Source organism: Homo sapiens, chromosome 1 (genome assembly GCF_000001405.40).
Source record: "Homo sapiens chromosome 1, GRCh38.p14 Primary Assembly".
NCBI lineage: Eukaryota > Metazoa > Chordata > Mammalia > Primates > Hominidae > Homo > Homo sapiens.
Window position 1 is genome coordinate 146,141,560 of NC_000001.11, and position 19,757 is coordinate 146,161,316.

The following is a 19,757-nucleotide window of genomic DNA, read 5'->3' on the forward strand; positions in this document are numbered from 1 at the left end:
ATAAGCCTGGGGTTTTGGGTCATCAGGGCCTATGGCCACCTTACCTGGGCTGAGCTTTTGGACAAGGTGCTGTGCCAGTCTACACCCCTCAGCCAGCTGTTCTTGGAGGTCCTGCCCCTGGGACTTGTCCGGCTCATCCGGAGTGAGGAGGGCCTGGAGATGCTCATACAATGAGCGGGAGGCATCTCTCCCTTCCCGTAACTTCTCCCTTAGCTGGGTCAGCTCTCGTTCCTGAGAGTGAACTAGGACTTTATATTGCCTAAGGTGAGACGGTAGAGAAAATTTAAGAGTAGAAAGGGTTGAGTGATCCGTTCAAATATTGCAACAGAGACTTCTGAGACAATGTCGTCAAGGAGACCTCCAAGCAGAAGGTCAGCACATGTTGAAAGGAATGACTGTGGCCAAGAGAAAGAATAGAAAATGGTCTACAGGCTTTCCCTCTATCAGAGAGGGCTCCTGCAAGATCCTCGATGATGTTCCATTCATCTTTCTCTTCTGTAAACAAAAGTAGGTGTCTTCCTAATTCCGTTTCAAAAAGACATCCTTTCAGTTCCTCACTCTGGCCATGGACATTTCCATGTGAAAATACACATAGTGCATCTTGCGGCCACTAGATACAAAGCCACGTACAGAAATGAGGCCAGGTGCAGATGGGGCGAATTGAAAAGATGAAAGAAGAAAAGAAGGACAGGGTCGAGGAGGCAACATTGATTGAGTGAAAGAATGAGAAGACGCAGTCAGTCAGGAGGTGATTCTCACTAAGGGTAAGTGGGGTGGCGATAGCACACCATTTTGATTATACTGAATGCTGCTGGGTGGTTCCCACTCCTTTGGTGAATTTTGTGTTATGTAAATTTCACATCAACAATTACTTGTTTGAAAAAGAGAAAACAAGGCTCTAAGAAACAACTGCAACACAGAACTTATTATTATCCTTGCTCTCTGATAAATATTTGTGTGTCATGAGCCTGCCATGGCAATTTCTGCCCTTCCCCTGGCCCAGCTTCGTTCTTACTTCTCCCCGCCGAGCTGCTGTACTTCAGAGATCTACACACCTACCCGCCTGCCTCCCCCTATGGGGTCCCCTCACCTGAGCTCCTCAGCTTGCTTCAGCTGCTCTGCAAGCTTCTCCTCCTTGAACTGTCGCTCATTCCTCAGCATAAATTTTATGAGGTCTTTACACTCTTCATACTCTGAAAAAAGACAGACACGCCTGCCTCAGTGGAAGGCTGGACATGCTGCTGTGGTCACTGCCTACAGGGCAGGAGCCAGGTCCATCCCAAGGACAAAACTCTCCCCAGTACCAGGGTCTAGACAGGGATTTCCACATCTTTACTCTTCAGTCTCCTGACTTTCTGGCATCTGATCCTCCAAAATTTAAAGACGAAAAAAGAGAAACTCAAGGGCACATCAAGGAAGTTGACAAGATGATTCAACCACAACGAAGTGGAGTCAGAACTCACAGCCCCTGAGGTCTGACTCTGAATGCGGGGCCACTTTCCCAAGCCTTGCAGCCTCTCCTCTAAAACACTGCACTGGGGCATGAAGTAGTGATTTCTTGTACAGTCGGGAAGGCCCCTAGGACTATGGGACTGATGGCTTCCCTTTTACTGGGTATTTCAAGGACAAATATGTCAAGGACTTTAAAAATATTTCACTTTTAAATCAATATTCAGATATGGTTTTAAGAATCATATCTGAAGCATAAAGTGTGAGACATAAGACAATAAGGCCATGAAGGAAATATGCCCAAATACTTTATTAGTATGAGAGGCAGCATTAAGATTTAGATTAGTTGTGTTAATTTAGAAACAGCATAAGATTAGTTTGTGTTAATTTAGAAACATCAGAATGAAGAACTAATAGATAGTGTTTACACTGTGCCAATTAATGTTCAAGGAGATTGACAGGAAATACCTCAGGTAATTCATTGCAGCAATTTACAGAGGTAGGTATTATTGTAGTACCCTCTGAACAGATGAGGAAACTGAGGGACAGACAAGACAAGCAACTTGGATGGAGCCCAGGAGACAGGCTGAGGGTCCCTGCTTTGCACACTGCACTGCTGCTTCCACACATTCTCCGGTGTGATCTTTCCTCTTTAGGAACAAGAGCCTGTGCACCAGGAAGCAGGACTTCACTCTCACCAAGGTACTCTCTGCTTTTTATTTTTATTTTTGATTTATTTATCGTTTTGTTTGTTTGTTTTTTGACGAGTCTTGCCCCGTCACCCATGCTGGAGTGCAATAGTGCAATCTTGGCTCACTGCAACATCTGCCTGCTGGGTTCAAAGGATTCTTCTGCCTCAGCCTCCCGATTAGTGGTGATTACAGTTGCCCGCCACGATGCCCATCTACTTTTTGTATTTTTAGTGGAGATGGGGTTTCTCCACGTTGCCCAGGCTAGTCTCAAACTGCTGACCTCGTGCTCTGCCCGCCTCAGCCTCCCAAAGTGCTGAGATTATAGGAGTGAGCCACGTTGCACGGCCCCTACTCCCTGCTCTTGATGCTGTCACTTATAGATAGCACAGGTTCTATTAGGAGCAGACTCCCCTTGAAGCCCCTCAGAGCAGGTACTGGCTACTATCACCAAGTTCCCCTCAGAGTCACTAGAACAGAGCTTTGCCTGTTGGGCCTCAACAGAAACTTGAACTGAATAAAAGTTCACTAGTCCTAGACATTTAGAACAACAGACTAGATGTTATTTGTCTGCAGGATCTTATATGGTACAGAGAGGATTCTTAAAAACATGATTGAGCCCCTTGGAGAAAACAGGTCATTCTGTGCCTGTGTTAGAAATCAATAACTGTGAGTTTAACTCTAGTTCCACCCCCATCTGATTGCAAACATGGAAAGTTGCTAAATACTTTGGCACCTCTGTCTTCCAACTTTAACAAAATGTTAAAATACCCATTTCTGTTTTCCTAGAAGTACAGGAAGGATGAAATTATTTTTGATGGAGAGAGCATTTAGTGTCTCAGAGAGAAGACAGGATATCATTCATCACTTTCATGATGGTGAGCCTATAGATCTTACTGTATTTCTTCTGTCGGTTGGCCAGGAAGCCGGCCAGTTGAGTTAGAAAACATTTCTCTTTGAGGCTTCTGAACTGCTGTTTCTTCTCTGCCAGCTGGGGGCGCAATGTCTCGTTGATTTCTAGAATGTTCATCTCTGCCTTCTCACTGGACCAAGGGCCGGCTGATACCACCATGCTGACGTTTGTGGCAGAAGAGGTGGAGTCAGGGACTGGGGAGAAGAAACCCAAACATATGATGGGTTAAAAACTGGTGAAATCAAATCGGTTTAATGAGGACTGAGGGATGTCAGTAACTGAAATTCTTAACTTACTGTTGTGAAAAATGTGATCACTCCCCACAGCACTTTAGGATCCTTCACCACAAAAACAAGGTTCGAGGTGCCTCAACTCAGAGCTGAAAGCACTGCCAGTAGCTCAGACTCTGATAAGAGTGAGGCAGAATGTGGCCAGCGTGCCAGGTAACCGTCTGCAGTTGCAATAACAGAATTAGAAGGTGGGGGTGTCATGGAATCTTAGGAGCTCTGCATTCCAATTGCCCAGGCTTTGCTGAAACACAGGCACCCTACTCTCACCTGAGGGTCACCACCAATGGGGATCATTCCTTCAGCATTCACTCTCAGTATTCGTGTACCCTTGTGACAATGCCACAGACCCGTGTCTTTCCCAATACATCTAAGCATATTCCTCACTGTTTATCTCTTGTCTGTACAACATCATCAAGGCAGAAACAGTTTCCCAACAGGTTATATTTTCTTAATGGTAGTCATGAAGTCACCCCACCTGCTCTCAGTTAAAACAGAGCTTAAGGCTTTTCCACAGGTGTAAGATATCAAACTTTTAGCCTGCCCTGATATCCTCCGGGTCTTCTGCAGTTTTTTCTGTATCCACTAGAAAGTGAATGAATAATTCATTTTTTTAAAATATTTTCTTTCCTGTCTCAGTATTCTTGCTGCTGCATCCCATTGTTAGATTGATTTCTTCTTTCTTACTGGGGCACCTTCTTGGGTTTTCATTACATTCTAGACCAGTTTGACATCCCTACGTCCAAAGCTCTTCCTCTATGTGGGTTGATTTGTTTTTTAATGTCACTGAGCACTACATTTTATACTTGTCACTTATAGATGTCATTCTAGTGCCCCAAGACCTCTTTTCAAGGTATCAAGTGATCAAAGTCATTTATATAGAGGTCTCCTGAAAACATGTGTGACCATCTATCTTGGGAAGTTTTGTAAACCTGATGCTATTTTGTTGTTTCCATTTTGTTTTCCCATATACTGAAAAGAACAGGGCCACGAGCAGTTCTTATGGAATATGGTTTGATATATATTTTGTTGAGATGACCTAACACCATTGATTTTGGGTTGCATTCCACTAACAGAACATGGCAAGATCAAGGTTATGGTCAGGGTTGGTTGGCGATCCTCAGTGTTGCTGTGCAGTAGAAGGTGAGTTTGAGGTGAGAGGAACAAGTAGGAAAGAGTGATCCCCTGAACCACCTCTTCGCTTTCTCAGCTTTCATCCCCACCTAGGTTTTGTGAGCCTGGAACTTGAGAGACTGTTCTGTAGCCCAGGTCTCCTAAGATTGGCTGCTGGACTTGCCTGAGTTGAGGGTGCAGTGGGTTGACCCTGGGCTGCCCAGCATTCATGTGGAAGTGAAGGAAGGAGGACTGGTTAATCCCATTTGAAAGCATCCCTCTCTGCAGCCCGCACCATCTTCCAGTGACACTGTAAGGATACTGCTTTGAGATGTATCAAAGGCTTTAAGTCAATGTATTTTCTAGGGTCTGGGAGACCTGACATTCTGTGTCAGAATGAAAATCTGTCAAGTTTCTAAATGAAAAAACTGCAGGTTCACAAAGTGTCATGGGTTACTTGAGGTCACAAAGGGATGAGTTTTCAGCACTGCCAATAAAAGCAATCACAATAATTATTCAGTAATTATTCATAGGATCCATACAATCCAGTAAATATTCACATATTTAGTAATTATTCATTGACCAATTCGTACAAGGCATTTTGCTCAAAACTGTGTTTATATTTGGACATTGTATCTTCATCATAATCCTTAAGGTAATGCTATTATCTATAAGTAACAGATAAGAAACCTGAAGATGAGGGACAGCTAATCACGTATTTGGCCATATTTCCATTTTTTGGTTTTTGTGATGCTGGAAGAATGACCAGAATGGGTCACGGGAAGAGTATTCATTCTTGTATTATTTTCCAGGACAGAGGTGTGCCCTTCTAGAGTACTGGGACCAAAATTCAGAAGTGTCTGAAACCTTGCTTTAACAGTATGGGAAATAACCTCTATCACCTGGAATTTCCCTGGAACTTTGGAATATACAAGAGAAGTATGAGACGTGGGTCTTCCCTTGGCTGTGTTTAATTCACTCTTCTATGGAATACCAATGATTCTCACTAAGACTTTTGCCTTTTTATAACCACAATGTATGTCTTATGGAGAAGATTGTACACTTTGCTCTATTTAGAAAGAATAAATATGAGCAATAGTTTTAGGTTTTATGCCCTGGACTTCATATTTTTCTGATTTCTGTTTTGAGATTAAATTCTCATGTAAATAGAAAAATACTTATTATTTCTCATCAGGCCAAGTTTGTTATCAGCTTGAGTTTTTGAAGATGAAGCACAAACTTTTGATTTTATCTTTGTCCTCATCAGCGCCACTCATTGTCTCTCAGTATGGCCTGGACTTGCCCCTGCATTTACCCTCATCCTGCTGAGCCATCTCCATGCACTGCGCAATTCCATCAGTGATTCGGGGTCCTCCCAAGGCTCCCTGAAATGTGCACAGGGATCAGGACGTCAGACACATTCCAGACACAAAGGCAACCCACACTGTAGAGTGAGCAGCTGTGTTCCCACTTCCCTAATGTTCCAGTGATGTCCTCAAACTGAAGGGAACACTTTCCCTTTTTAAGGGTCTGTTCTTCATGTCTCAATGCCTCTGATCTAGTGAACACAACTGTCCTGAAACTGAAAGAACCTGCTAAATTTCGAGTTTCTGGTTAGGTGGCTAGAATAGGTTTATAAGACTTCCTTACTTACCTATGACTGCTGAAGTTTGAATTCTTAGCAGTATGATTCCTTTTCTTGTAAGCTGAGCAGCTTAGGAAAGATTGGCCATGTTGCTGTGCAAAAAGAGGTAAACTTAATTTATACTCAAAGCATGCTTGAATTTGAAACTAGGGCTTCCACTCTTCCAAAGTTGGATTGTCACTACCTCAGGCATGTGTCCCGAAGGGCTCATGTCTCTGTTGTACTCAAAGTTCAAATGGAGCCCAGCAAGCCAGATCTCCTTTACTTCTAAGTTCCCTCAACAGTTTCTCCTCTGCTTTAGAGACTGCCTTGAAAATATTCTTGTCCTGCTGTTGTGTTTTGGCTTTGGAATGATGTGATGCAGCTCAATGGGTCCTACCCCCAAGTTGATCAGAGTAAGAAACAGCTGGGAAAGTCAGTGCAAATTCAAGTTCATCATCCTCCTTACAGGGATTCTGATTCAGAGGGCTCAGGTGGGGCCTGGAATGTGTTTGTTAACATGACTCAGATGTGCAGTCAGTTTGGGGACCCGCTGATACCATCGACCTTATAGTTTATGGGATGATTCTGTTTTGCTGATAAAGAAACTGAGGCATAGACAGTCTGTAACTTGCCCAAGTTCCCCTTGCTGTAAGTCCTGGAGCCAGATCTCAGGTGGAGCAGCCTCTTCCCCATCCCCTTCCCACATTTTCCAATTCAGCTGGGTCAATTCTTTCAAAGTACGTGTTTCTCTCCCCTATACCTCATTTCTGAAAAAAGGAGAACTGGAATTTAACTTCTTTCATCTAATACATTTCCTCACAACATGCTGCCAGCATCATATTCTGGCCTCTTACTATTAAAGTGAGATGCCTTTTTTTTTTTTTTTTTTTTTTTTTTGAGACAGGGTCTTGTTCTGTCACCCAGGCTGGAGTGCAGTGGTGATTATAGATCACTGCAACCTTGAACTCCTAGGCTCAAGCGATCCTCTTGCCTCAGCTTTCCAAGTAGTTGGAACTCTAGGCACACATCACCATTTCTGGCTAATTTTTTATTTTTCATGGAGACAAGGTCTTGCTATGTTGCTCAGGCTGGTTTTGAACTTCTGGCCTCAAGTGATCCTCCCACCTAGGCCTCCAAAAGTGCTGGGATTACAAGAGTAAACCACTGAGCCTGGCCCTGAAATGCTTTTTTTTTTTTTTTTTTTAATGAAAATACAAGGCATGGAGATGTGGAAAGACACCTTGCTTTATTACTGTTATTATTAGTTCTATAGTATAATTCATATATCACAAAAATCACCATTTTTAAGCATATATTTCAGTGTCTTTTACCATATTCCAAAAGTTCTGCAACCATCACCACTACCTAATTCCAGAATATTTTCATAATGCCAAAAAGCATGCCTGTACCTATGGGCAGTCACTCTCCAATTCCCCACTTCTTACAGTCTCTGACAACCACTAATCTACTTTCTCTATATATAGATGTACTTGTTCTGGGCACTTAATTCAACAAATGGTCCTGGGACAACTAAATATCCACATGTAAAAGAATCAAGTTAGACTCCCTCCTCGCACATAAAAATTAACTCAAAATGGATCAGAGACCTAAAGGTAGGTGGTAAAATTATAAATCACTTAGAAATAGTAAATCTTTGTAATGTGGGATAAGCAAAGTTTTCACAAATATGACTGAAAGCACAAGCAACAAAAGAAAAAATAAATTGTATTCCATCAAGTTAAAAACATTTGGGCTGAAAAGTATATCATCAAGAATGTGAAAAGACAGTACATAGAATGACAGAAAATATCTGCAAATCATATTATCTGATAAGAGACTTGTATTTAGGATATATTTTTTAAAAACTATTACAGTTCAATATTAAAAAGATAAACCAATTATAAAGTAGGTAAAGGATCTGAACAGACATTCTCCAAAGAAGATACATAATGACTAATAAGTATATGAAAAGATGTTGAAAATCATCAACCATCAGGGAAATGTAAATCAAAACCACAATGAGATAAACACTTCACATTACAGATGAATATAATAAAAAAGACAGACAATAACAACTGTTGATGAGGATGTGGAGAAACTGGAATTCTCATACACTGCTGGTTGGAATGTAAAATAATGTACCCACTTCAGAACAGTCTGACAGTTCCTGAAAAGGTTAAACAGCATTACCATCTGACGCAGCAATTCTGCTCCTAGGTATATATCCAAGAAATATGAAGATAAATGTCTACCAAAAAATTATACAAGAATGTTCATAACAGAATTATTGATAATACTCAAAAAGTAGAAGCAACTCAAATGTCAATCAACTGATGATGGATAAATAAAATGATAAAATGTGGTAAATCCATATGATAAAATATTATTCAGCCATAAAAAGGCACAGAGTACTGACAAATGCTACCACATCAATGAACTTTGAAAACCTCATGCTAAGTGAAAGAAGCTGTCATAAATTACTACATGCTGCATGTTTCCATTTGTATGAAATGTCCAGAAGAGGCATTTCTGGAACAGAAACTTTACCCAATTGCAGTCCATATGTTTTCTGGGATCCCGGAGTTCCCTTTCAACAATGTAAAATACAAACTTAGGTCAAAAGTTCCCATGTCTGAGAAAACTCAAGCCAAATCAGTTCTCCTCCAAAGTTGACAGGATTTATGCTTTAAAAATACAGATACAGAATTCTCTTTGGAAAGATCTACCAAATTCCTGTAAGAAACAGTCTACCCAAAGTAGGGGAAAGGCTATATGAAAAGTTACAAGGCACTTCTTAAAAATATATCTTAGGTTTTTAGGGAAAGGTAAACAGACAAGTTTCCAGACCCGTGGGTGGAATGGATGTAGCAGATTCACTGAGAGGCTCACAGCACCGTACTAAAGGGAGTCTACTGCTTAAAGCCAATTCACATCCTTAAAAGGTCAAATGGAGAGAAATTAAACTTGGGAGAAGCATTTTAAGACTGTGCTGTTATAAAACCTCGGGCCACTTAACTGATTAATCATGGCAATGAGGGCAGGGACCAGAAAAGAGTCTTTAGAACCTGTCATCCCCACACAGAAGAGCAACTTTCAGGGAAACACCCTTATCTTTCCATTTTCAGACCCCGGGAGGTGTGAGGGTGGAAAGGCTAGGTAGAGAAGAGAGCAGAAAGGAGATGAGATGACACAACCAGGATTCTCCGAAGCTGGGCTTGAAGTCCTCAAGAAAAACTCCCATGAACAAGGAAGGAAGAGTGAAGAAAAAAACAGGGATACCTGGAACTGGACAAAAGTAAAAAGATAGAAGGATACTTTTTTTCCCCCAGAAGAAGTCTGTCACAAAAGCAAACCTGCAAATATACGATCAGTATAACACCCAAGAAAATGACACATGCGGCCAGGCATGGTGGCTCATGCCTGGAATCCCAGCACTTTGAGAAGCCGAGGCAGGTGGATCACCTGAGATCAGGAGTTCGAGGCCAACCTGACCAACATGGTGAAACCCCATCTCTACTAAAAATACAAAAATTAGCTGAGCATGGTGGCAGGCACCTGTAGTCCCAGCTACTTGGAAGGCTGAGACATGAGAATAGCTTGAACCCGGGAGGTGGAGGTTGCAGTGAGCCGAGATAGCACCATTGCACTCCAGCCTGGGAGAAAGAGCGATGCTCCGTCTCAAAAAAAAAAAAAAAAAAAAAGAAAAGAAAAGAAAATGACACATGCCCCCAAGTGTGAGAATGCAAGAGGGAATCCCTGACCTATCCCTATCCAACCAGTTTTCTTGGCACACACCTTCCATTCTCTGAATGAGCCCAGATTAACTCACTGACCCCTGTGCCACGTATCTCCCACTCCATCACCCGCCCAGGCTCACTGCTTCCACCTGCGTCCCTTCATATCTCCCTACTGACCTCCACTTTTTTCTAACTTTGTCATCAAAGAAGTCACAGAAATAAATAGGAGGATTCAAAAAGAATAATTTCAGTACATTTAAAAAATTGTAGAATATAGGATTCTCATCTATGTTTATCACGTTCATTCATTTTTCAAATTTTCATTGTGGCACCATTTTATGACAGGCACTATGCTGGGGATGCTGGCGACTAGGGTAGGGAGTTAAAATGAGAGTGTCTACTTGGAAAGATGAACAGATAAATAATCACCGTGATAAGTGCTGTGCTAGAGATATGCAGATGTCAAAAGACCTTAGAAGGTCTACAATCCACTTGGAGGGTAGGGAATATAGAAGGCATTTCAGTGAAATAGGGTGCCTTTGACAAATCATTAAGAATGAGTTCTACATTAAAAAGGGGAAGAGAGGGTGATAGCTGAGGAGGCAGCATAGGCAAGAACATCCAGCATGAAAGAACAGTGAAGGACATCAGGAACATCTTTCAGGAACATCAGGTAAAACAGACTTAGGGCCCAAGTCAAAGGAGCTAAAATAATACACCCTGGAAAGTGGTATGATCATTTCTGCATCTGCTCCAGAGAAACCTGCCAAAATATGATTAGCATAATACCCAAGAGAACATCACATTCCCCATGTGTGAAAATGCAAGAGGGAGTTATTTCTAATAGTTCATAAGCTCAGCAACAACAGAGTAGACACAAAAGCCATAGAATGTGCTTAGGCTTTACTTTAATGATATAGGGATATCACATATCATCAGCCTGTGGAGTACAGAGGTAGTTTACAAAGGATAAACCTTCATTGTTTGGAAAGGAAAGATCAGAGAGCTCTTTATGAAGTTTAAACAAAATCAGAGAAATAAAGAGATGTGGGAAAGAAAGAAAAAAAAGAAAGTACATTGAGGACAGTCCAATCTAACTGTGAACTCATAAGGGACAGCCAGTAAATTCAAAACAGCCTACTGTTTTTTGATTACTTGTGCTACTCTATTAAAATAGCCACAAACACAAAACTAGTCTACCTCTTTCTCTCCCCATTATTGGCCCTAACCCAAAAATAGTGGGAGTAAATGATTTAATAATTTATTTTCATGCTCCATTTTGTTCTTAAGTTAAAATTACTGTGGTTGGTGCCCCTCCTTTAGCTTCTGCTAAAGACTTTACATAATGAAAGCTCATGAAGTGTCTGGATTACTAACAGTTACTTATCCAAAAAGATGAGACATGGTTCATTGATTTGATTCTATTAGTTCTCTCTTGAAGATATTTTTCTCCTCCCTCTGTGAAGAAACATTTCTTTCTGTGTCATACAAGAGGAGTCATTTTTGTAGTTTTAATTCCCTCTTGAGTCCTACAATAATACTAAAATACTCACAGTGACTACAGTATCCTTTGCAGGGAAAAAATTGTAAATTAACCATTTAAATATAGTCACTAAGTTATGTGGCATTCACTGACTCAGAGTTGAAAAAGACTCCAAAATTCTTATCCAGTATTAGAGTATACAAGGACAAAAGGAGAGGCCAAACTAAGTCTAGGACGCACAATACAAAGAAGAAAATGAGAAGACCAAAGTTACAGTCTCAATACTATGACATGATACTAAACCATACAGTCAGTCAGCCAATATATATTTGTGGGCCTAGTATATACTGGGCACTGTTTGTAGGTGTTTGGGTTACATCAGTAAACAAAAACAAAGATACTAGTTTTCATTCTGGAGAGGGTAAGAGGCAGTAGAATTTGGAAAAGACAGACAATGAACAATAGACATAATGAAGTAAATTATATAGTATAAATTATATAGTAAGAAGATAAGAGTTACAGAAAAAGAAAACAAAAAGTAGACCAGGGTTAGTAATTAAGGGGGTGGGGGACAGTTACAATTTTAAATAGGGTGGTTAGAGTAACCCTCAATTAGAAGTGCCAAGACGTGAAATGCAGTGGAAGCAACCATTTGAAAGTTGCAGAATACTTTAACAAGCTACTTTGCCTCCTGCTGACTTTGTTTCCCCATTTTTAGAACTGAAATAATAATTCTCATCAAATAAGGGTGCTATTTACATTGAGATAGTGACTATTACTATAAGTAACATTTTAGTCTCTTGACAAGCATGGGAAGCAATGGAATGAAGGGCAATGGAAGGAAGGGCACTGCATTATGAAAAGGACTTTTTAAAAGAAAACCATCTCCAGGCACTATTCCCCTTTGTGGAAATGAAGAGAATATTTTCTGAACTCCACCTGGGACATATGAACAATGAGCATGAAATCTTACAAACTGTATAAATAACATTTATTCACAGTGTCACTGCATCATCTATTGTTTTGAATTCTCTTTAAATTTCCTTCTATATATTTATCCAAAGCTGAAGTCATCTGGTTTAGATTATGGGACCCTGAAAAGCAAGAACTAGTCTATGTAACTACTTTTAAACATCTGCACAACGCCATACACACACACACACACACACACACACACACACACACACACACACACACACACATATTGATATGTAACAAGTACTATTTGATTATAATTAGGAGTGTCTTGGTTTTCTTATAACATGAACATATATTTTTAACCCAAACAGCTTAAAGCATTTAACGAAAAGTTTTACACACCTACAAAGTGCTTTCAGGAAGCAGATGTGCAGTGCAATGTGGCGCAGTAAGATGCACAAAGCAAAGGCTTTGAAAATAAACTGCCTCGGTTTCAGGACCCAGCCTAACCACATATTAGCTGTACAACTTTGGGTGAATCACTTAACATCTCCAAACTTCAGTTACTTCATGTGGGAAGACTTGAAAAATAATACCTGGTCCCAAGATTTTTGTGTAATTGAGCTAATAAGCATGGAAGTACCTGGCACAGTTCCTGAGTCACCAAAAAAATGTTAGTTTTCTCTTCATCGAATCTCCCCATTCCCACCCCTCATGCTAATCTCCCCTCCCACACACACACACACCATCAGTGAGTAAATAAGTGTCTTGCGTTAAACTACAACCAGAGAATAAGAGACAGCCAAGATTTCCTTACTCTATTTCACTAGCCCTGGCAGCCTCTCAGCTGCGGAATCCTTGGTTATTTCCTTTCTCAAGGAGGAGATACTATTCTAGTTTGACAGATCCTTTCCTGGACACACTCTCAGAATTCCCTAAGGTTCTTATCGTGGCTAATGGATAACAATGCAGAGGCTATGGGAGTGAATAATCACTCTCTCTCAGCTAAAAACTTCCTTTATTGACTTCTCTAACTTCCCGTCAACATCTTGCTGCCAAATCAACCTCTTGTTCTAGGCAATTATTAAAAGCAATTTTCTTGAAACTGAAAAACACATTTAGCCTTCAACAATAAATCACACTAACATCAATTACTAGCCAATTAGATTACTAGAATATCAGACCCAGAGATATTTGCAGTGTTGAAATATTTTCAAAATAAAGTTGTTTACATTTCTATTTCTGTCTTTAATCCTTAAAATGCAAACAAATACAGGAGTGAAGACAGATGTATTTTAGTTATTTCTTCTACAAGATAAAGTGGATAGTAATATTATGTTAAGAAAATACTTATTTAGTATCTAGAATGATAGCATTATCTATTCTTTATTAAAAGAGAAACTAAAAGTAATATAATTAAATAGCTTGTTCTTGTGACTTAAATAATATAAAATTTTCATTTCAATTATGTGACAATGCTTTGTATAGCTGTATTCCAAATACATAGCATGGTGCCTAGAACATAGCAGGCAGTCAATACATTTTTACCAAATGAAATGAATAAATTACCAGTTGATTTTATACTGAGGACCAAACTATGACCTTTAATCCCTCCAAAATAAAACACACAATCCCATTATATGTGAACCATATCCACAATACCAGAATCTAAGATTCCCACTCTGAAAGAGTAACTAGAACAACTTCTTTTTGAGGCAATTCTGCTTACTTAGCACATTACTCCCCCCTACAGTTTTCCTTCTTTTGTTTTTGTACTAAGGATATTTGTATAAAAACAGGATCTTTGTTGCTTAGTAATTCATCTGATTCAGCTGCTTGTATTCTGTTCCCAATCAAAATTCTTGGTTTTCAGCCTCCTCATCATTTTTATAAGGAGTTGAATGAATTGGTCAAGCTTGTTCCTTTCTCCCTCTCCATGGAACACCAGGCCCCAAGCTCCCCGACACTGCTCCTCTTTTTATTTCTATCTTTGGGTTGTGTGTACACTCTAGAACACTTGTATCAGTGAAGAGTGTAACAAAGTATTGTGCCACGCATAGTCTCTCATATATCATCTATCAGCTCATCAAAAAGTGCTCACTGATTAACAGAGGATCCCCTCCTCAGTTTCAGAATTCTCTAGCTTTAAGTTAGGGGAGGGTTACCCCAAAGTCAGAGAGGGTACATGGGAGAGGGTTGTGAAGGCCAGTAGCCCAGAGAAAATCAAGGGCAGCTGGGTGCATTTAGGTGGATAAGAAAACAATGAATTACTCCATCAAAAGCAAAAGCACAAGCACATAGTAAAGTTGATCACCCACTGTTAATGTCAATTCAGTTTAAAGCACTTTATTAACCACACATACATATTTTCCAGTGTCTAATTCTCATCGTGTTCTTTTCCATTCCAGACTTCCCTGTCTCTTTCCCAGAGCTCTGTTCCTCTTCTCACTGTTTCTACAAAAGGGACAATAAACAATTTTCTAGCCACTCATCATCATAAACCCTGACATGCTAAATTATCCCCTGCTCAGTTTATGGACCACAGTGGGCCCATAAAACTCCTCCCTCACTAGCAACCCACCCCACACAAAATTCTCACTTCCCTTTTTCCTTGCGCTTCCTAAAAAAAGCAATTGAGCCACACCCACTACCTCCTGTGCTAGGGGTTTGTCCCCTAATCCTGGGACACTAGGGAGCTCCTTACCTGGAAGGCAGTTGCACTCAAAAGTGAAGTCACCAGTCTGCCGACAGGTGCCTCCATTGACACAAGGCGAGGGTGCACAGGGCACATACAGGCTGTCACAGTACTGGCCTGTGAAGCCCTGAAGGCACTGGCACTGGTAGGAACCAGGCAGGTTGAGGCAGGTGCCACCATGCTGGCAGTGTCCTGGAATGTCACACTCATTGACATCAGTCTCACACTTCTGCCCTGTGAAGCCTGTGAGGCATTTGCAGGAGAACTGGTTGGCCACAGTGGTACAGGTACTTCCATTTGCACAGGGATGAGACAGGCAGGCATCGGTCCATTGGCACTCCTTACCTAAAGGAAGGATAACAAAACTCAGTACTGGCCACAGAAATAGGAGATGGCCCCATCCTCAATACCTCATTGACATCAGCGAGCTCTTGCGTGGAGAAGACCTCAACTCTTTGCATTTTACAAAAGGCTAAATCAGAGCCTCCTCAAGGTCATCTGACACAGAGCCCTCTCCAGTAACTCTCCAAGGACCTCAGCAGAGACACAAGGACTCAGTGGGTGGAGCACCTGGAGGCAATTGTAGGTTAGTCACATTGAAGCCCAATCCTGCAGGACGCTATCAGCAATAGGAGTCTGGATCCATCTACTCTCTCAGAGCTCACTGTCTTTGCATATGCTGCTCCTGTTTGAATATCAACTTCCGGGCCAGGAGCAGTGGCTCACACCTGTAATTCCAGCACTTTGGAAGGCCGAGGCAGGCAGATCATGAGGTAAGGAGTTCAAGACCAGCCCGGCCAATATGGTGAAACCCTGTCTCTACTAAAAATACAAAAATTAGCTGGGCATGGTGGCGCGCACCTGTAATCCCAGCTACTTGGAAGGCTGAGGCAGAAGAATCACTTGAACCCAGGAGGCGGAGGTTGCAGTGAGCCGAGATTGTACCACTGCACTCCAGCCTGGGCGACACAGCAAGACTCCATTTCAAAAAAAAAAAAAAATCAACTTCCCTTCTGTTTTCCTAGTGAACTCTCCCTATCTTGGCAACTCTACTCAAAAGTTCCAACCTCTGTAAAGTCATCCTTAGTGCCCCTCACATACATACATGTGCGCAAAGACAGATACACCAAGTTTGCTATTTTCTTCTATTATACCACCTGCCACACTGGCAGGGTTGGGTCTCCGTGGTATGCTCTCAAATCATGTCTGTTGAATGGATAAAATATATCGATATTTTCCACAAAATATAGTTACTAAATAGACCTCTGGTGATAGAAACAAGTCAATACTACTTCTGTTTCCTCTAAATGTAACACACACATATATTCTGGGAAACATTTTATTAATTGTGGCCTTGCTATAAATATCTGTTGATGTGTTTGAAAATGATGAAGGACCTCTGGGTCCCTATATAACAAATGAAATAGAAGCCATCAGGAGGACAGAGGTCTCGAAGGTATTCCGTGGACTTTCTCAAGTAGGAAAGTACCAGCACTAGCAGGAAGACTCTGACGGGTTGAAAACTAAATCATGATGCCAGGGGAAGCAAAGCAGATTCTTTGAGGCAGAAAGAGAAAGAGAAAAAAATATCCTCACAGAACTAGTAAATTTGGTATTCACATGGCTGGCTTTTTGTTGTCATTAGTCTAAGTCGCTTATTATTTAAACTACAGAGATAAGAACTCCTTGAATTTTTATTATTATTATTATTATACTTTAAGTTCTAGGGTACACGTGCACAACATGCAGGTTTGTTACATATGTATATATGTGCCATGTTGGTGTGCTGCACCCATTAACTCGTCATTTACATTAGGTACATCTCCTAATGCTATCCCTCCCCCGTCCCACCACCCCACGACAGGCCCCGGTTTGTGATGTTCCCCTTCCTGTGTCCAAGTGTTCTCATTGTTCAATTCCCACCTATGAGTGAGAACATGCGGTGTTTAGTTTTTTGTCCTTGCAATAGTTTGCTGAGAATGATGGTTTCCAGCTTCATCCATGTCCCTACAAAGGACATGAACTCATCCTTTTTTATGGCTGAATAGTATTCCATGGTGTATATGTGCCACATTTTCTTAATCCAGTCTATCATTGATGGACATTTGGGTTGGTTCCAAGTCTTTGCTATTGTGAATAGTGCCGCAATAAACATACGTGTGCATGTGTCTTTATAGCAGCACGATTTATAATTCTTTGGGTATATACCCAGTAATGGGATGGCGAGAACTCCTTGAATTTGTTAATACTCCAGTTGATTGTCTAGGAAAGTATCTAAATCTCTGACCTCATAGAAAGGTAAATGGGAGACACAAGAGTTTTTCTATAAGGGAAAAAGATGCGAGATGTGACATATGAGCACAGAAAAGTGCTCTCTGCCTATCAAGGAATGTCAAATCAAAGGAGAAAACTATAACACAAATTTAGGCACAGCATATACATCTCAGGGAGCTAAGACAGAAAATGAAGGAACTGCAATTCTTCTTGTCTTTCCACTCATGTCACTAAGAGGCACTTATTTACAGTGGAGAAGAGATATAAATGCTCACTTCTAGCAAGTGTGATTTTCAGAGTGATGCCCACAACTGAAACAGAAAGATCCCCGGGCCGGAAGTGGTGGCTGATGCCTGTAATCCCAGCACTTTGGGAGGCTGAGGTGGGCAGATCACTTGTGGTTAGGAGTTTGAGACCAGCCTGGCCAACACGGTGAAACGCCATCTTTTCTAAAAATACAAAAATTAGCCGGGCTTCATAGCGCATGCCTGTAATCCCAGCTACCTGGGAGGCTGAGGCACAAGAATCACTCGAACCCAAGAGGTGGAGGTTGCAGTGAGCCGAGACTGCGCCACTGTACTAAGCAACAGAGTGAGAAGAAAGAAAGACAGAAAGAGAGAGGGAAAGAGAGAGGAAGAGAGAAAGAGAGAGAAAGAAAGAAAGAAAGAAAGAAAGAAAGAAAGAAAGAAAGAAAGAAAGAAAGAGAAAGAAAGAAAGAAAGGAAGGGAGAAAGAAAGAAAGAATCAACCCTGAATTTGGTTTCCATATATATTATGTATAGGCACTAACTTGCTGCCTATGCTTCTTCATCTCTGAGTGGAGATGAGCTAGTAAGCTGACTGAGGTATAGCGCTATCACAAAAACCAAAAGGATGACCTTGATCTGTGATGATTCCTAAAGTGATAGACAAAAATAGCATATGTATAAAAGATGATCAGAATCGGCCGGGTGTGGTGGCTCACACCTGTAATCCCAGCACTTTGGGAGGCCGAGGCGGGTGGATCATGAGGTCAGGCGATCCAGACCATTCTGGCTAACAAGGTGAAAGCCCATCTCTACTAAAAATACAAAAATTAGCCGGGCATGGCGGTAGGTGCCTGTAGTCCCAGCTACTCAGGAGGCTGAGGCAGAAGAATGGCGTGAACCCGGGAGGTGGAGCTTGCAGTGAACCGAGATTGCACCCTGCACTCCAGCCTGGATGACAAAGCAATACTCCATCTCAAAAAAAAAAAAAAAAAAAAAAAAAAAAAGGTGATCAGAATCTTGCAGAACACACCAAGAAGAGATCCTTCTTAACAACAAAGGAAGAAGTTTTAATTTGGGACCATTTCAGAGTGACATTTTAATTATGAAGAAGGCATTACTGTCATTTCCACTAGCCAGAATTAAAATATTTTAAGTGGGTATATGCCCCCCTACTTTGCCTCCTAATAGCAAAACAACTCAAAACTGACAATCAGGAAGAAATTATTCTTATAACACCAAATATTTTCAGTGACTTACATCATCAATACCATCATCATCATGATGGAGATCATGGATCATCCTAACTACCCTCTACCCCACCAACACCTTTTGATGAATGATATGGTTTGGTAGTGTCCCCACCCAAATCTCAACTTGAATTGTATCTCCCAGAATTCCCATGTGTTGTGGGAGGGACCCAGTGGGGTAACTGTATCATGGGGGCCAGTCTTTCCTGTGCTATTCTCATGAGAGTGAATAAGTCTCATGAGATCTGATGGGTTTCTCAGGGGTTCTGCTTTTGCTTCTTCCTAATTTTCTCTTGCCACCACCATGAAAGAAGTGCCTTTTGCCTCCCACCATAATTCTGAGGCCTCCCCAGCCATATGGAACTGTAAGTCCAATTAAACCTCTTTTCTTCCCGGTCTCGGGGATATCTTTATCAGCAGCGTGAAAATGGACTAATACAGTAAATTGGTACCAAGAGTGGGGTTTTTGCGAGAGTGCCAGCTATCCCGAGGGAAACTTTGGAGGGAACCAGCTACTAGATGGTTCAATTAGTCTTTCGCCCCTACACCCAGGTTGGATGACCGATTTGCACATCAGGACTGCTACGGACCTCCACCAGAGTTTCCTCTGGCTTTGCCCTGCCCAGGCAGAGTTCACCACCTTTCAGGTCCTAACATTTGTGCTCATGCCCCACCTTCCCAGTGCAGAAAACAAGATGGGCCGGTGGAAAGCTGACCTGGCTACTGCCACCGCAGAGTGCCCAATTTGCCAGCAGCAGAAACCAACACTGCGCCTTTGATATGGCACTATTCCTCAGGGTGATCAGCCAGCTACTTGGTGGCAGGTTGATTATGTTGGACTTCTTCCATTGTGAAAAGGGCAGATGTTTGTCCTTACTGGAATAAACACTTACTCTGGATATGGGTTTGCCTATCCTGCATGCAATGGTTCTGCCAAGACTACCATCCGCGGACTCATGGAATGCCTTATCCACTGTCATGGTATTCCACACAGCATTGCCTCTGACCAAGGCATTCACTTTATGGCTAAAGAAGTGCAGCAGTGGGCTCATGCTCATGGAATTCACTGGTCTTACCA

General features: G+C 41.5%; 2 protein-coding genes across 6 annotated transcripts in view, besides 3 other annotated features; both read right to left on the reverse strand.

Annotated features, from left to right (window-relative positions):
- Nucleotides 1-3,245, reverse strand: part of NBPF10 (NBPF member 10) — an 80,106-nt gene extending 76,861 nt beyond the window's left edge. For both annotated transcript variants that reach the window (NM_001039703.6, NM_001302371.3), the window contains exons 1-3: nucleotides 3,036-3,245; nucleotides 1,091-1,193; nucleotides 45-259 (exon numbers count right to left, since the gene is read on the reverse strand). In NM_001039703.6, coding sequence (NP_001034792.4) covers nucleotides 45-259; nucleotides 1,091-1,193; nucleotides 3,036-3,210 — 493 coding nt within the window. In that variant the 5' untranslated portion in view covers nucleotides 3,211-3,245. The remainder of the gene's footprint in view (nucleotides 1-44; nucleotides 260-1,090; nucleotides 1,194-3,035) is intronic.
- Nucleotides 2,390-2,891: an enhancer, noted in NCBI's record as "H3K27ac hESC enhancer chr1:145293725-145294226 (GRCh37/hg19 assembly coordinates)". NCBI's record gives its function as "activates a minimal SCP1, AML or CMV promoter by ChIP-STARR-seq in naive H9 embryonic stem cells {active_cell/tissue: H9 hESC(naive)}" and the evidence as "EXISTENCE:reporter gene assay evidence [ECO:0000049][PMID:30033119]".
- Nucleotides 5,670-5,857: a silencer, noted in NCBI's record as "fragment chr1:145290760-145290947 (GRCh37/hg19 assembly coordinates)". NCBI's record gives its function as "represses an EF-1alpha promoter that drives an FKBP-Casp9 reporter gene in an ReSE screen in K562 erythroleukemia cells {active_cell/tissue: K562}" and the evidence as "EXISTENCE:reporter gene assay evidence [ECO:0000049][PMID:32094911]".
- Nucleotides 7,306-19,757, reverse strand: part of NOTCH2NLA (notch 2 N-terminal like A) — an 80,157-nt gene continuing 67,705 nt past the window's right edge. For 2 of the 4 annotated variants that reach the window (NM_001364006.2, NM_203458.6), the window contains exons 4-5: nucleotides 14,921-15,256; nucleotides 7,306-14,670 (exon numbers count right to left, since the gene is read on the reverse strand). In NM_001364006.2, the coding sequence (NP_001350935.1) occupies nucleotides 14,594-14,670; nucleotides 14,921-15,256 (413 nt within the window). In that variant the 3' untranslated portion in view covers nucleotides 7,306-14,593. Of the gene's footprint in view, nucleotides 15,257-19,757 lie in introns of all 4 variants that reach the window. The other 2 variants (NM_001395231.1, NM_001395232.1) reach the window with 1 other exon arrangement.
- Nucleotides 14,558-15,077: an enhancer, noted in NCBI's record as "H3K27ac-H3K4me1 hESC enhancer chr1:145281548-145282067 (GRCh37/hg19 assembly coordinates)". NCBI's record gives its function as "activates a minimal SCP1, AML or CMV promoter by ChIP-STARR-seq in naive H9 embryonic stem cells {active_cell/tissue: H9 hESC(naive)}" and the evidence as "EXISTENCE:reporter gene assay evidence [ECO:0000049][PMID:30033119]".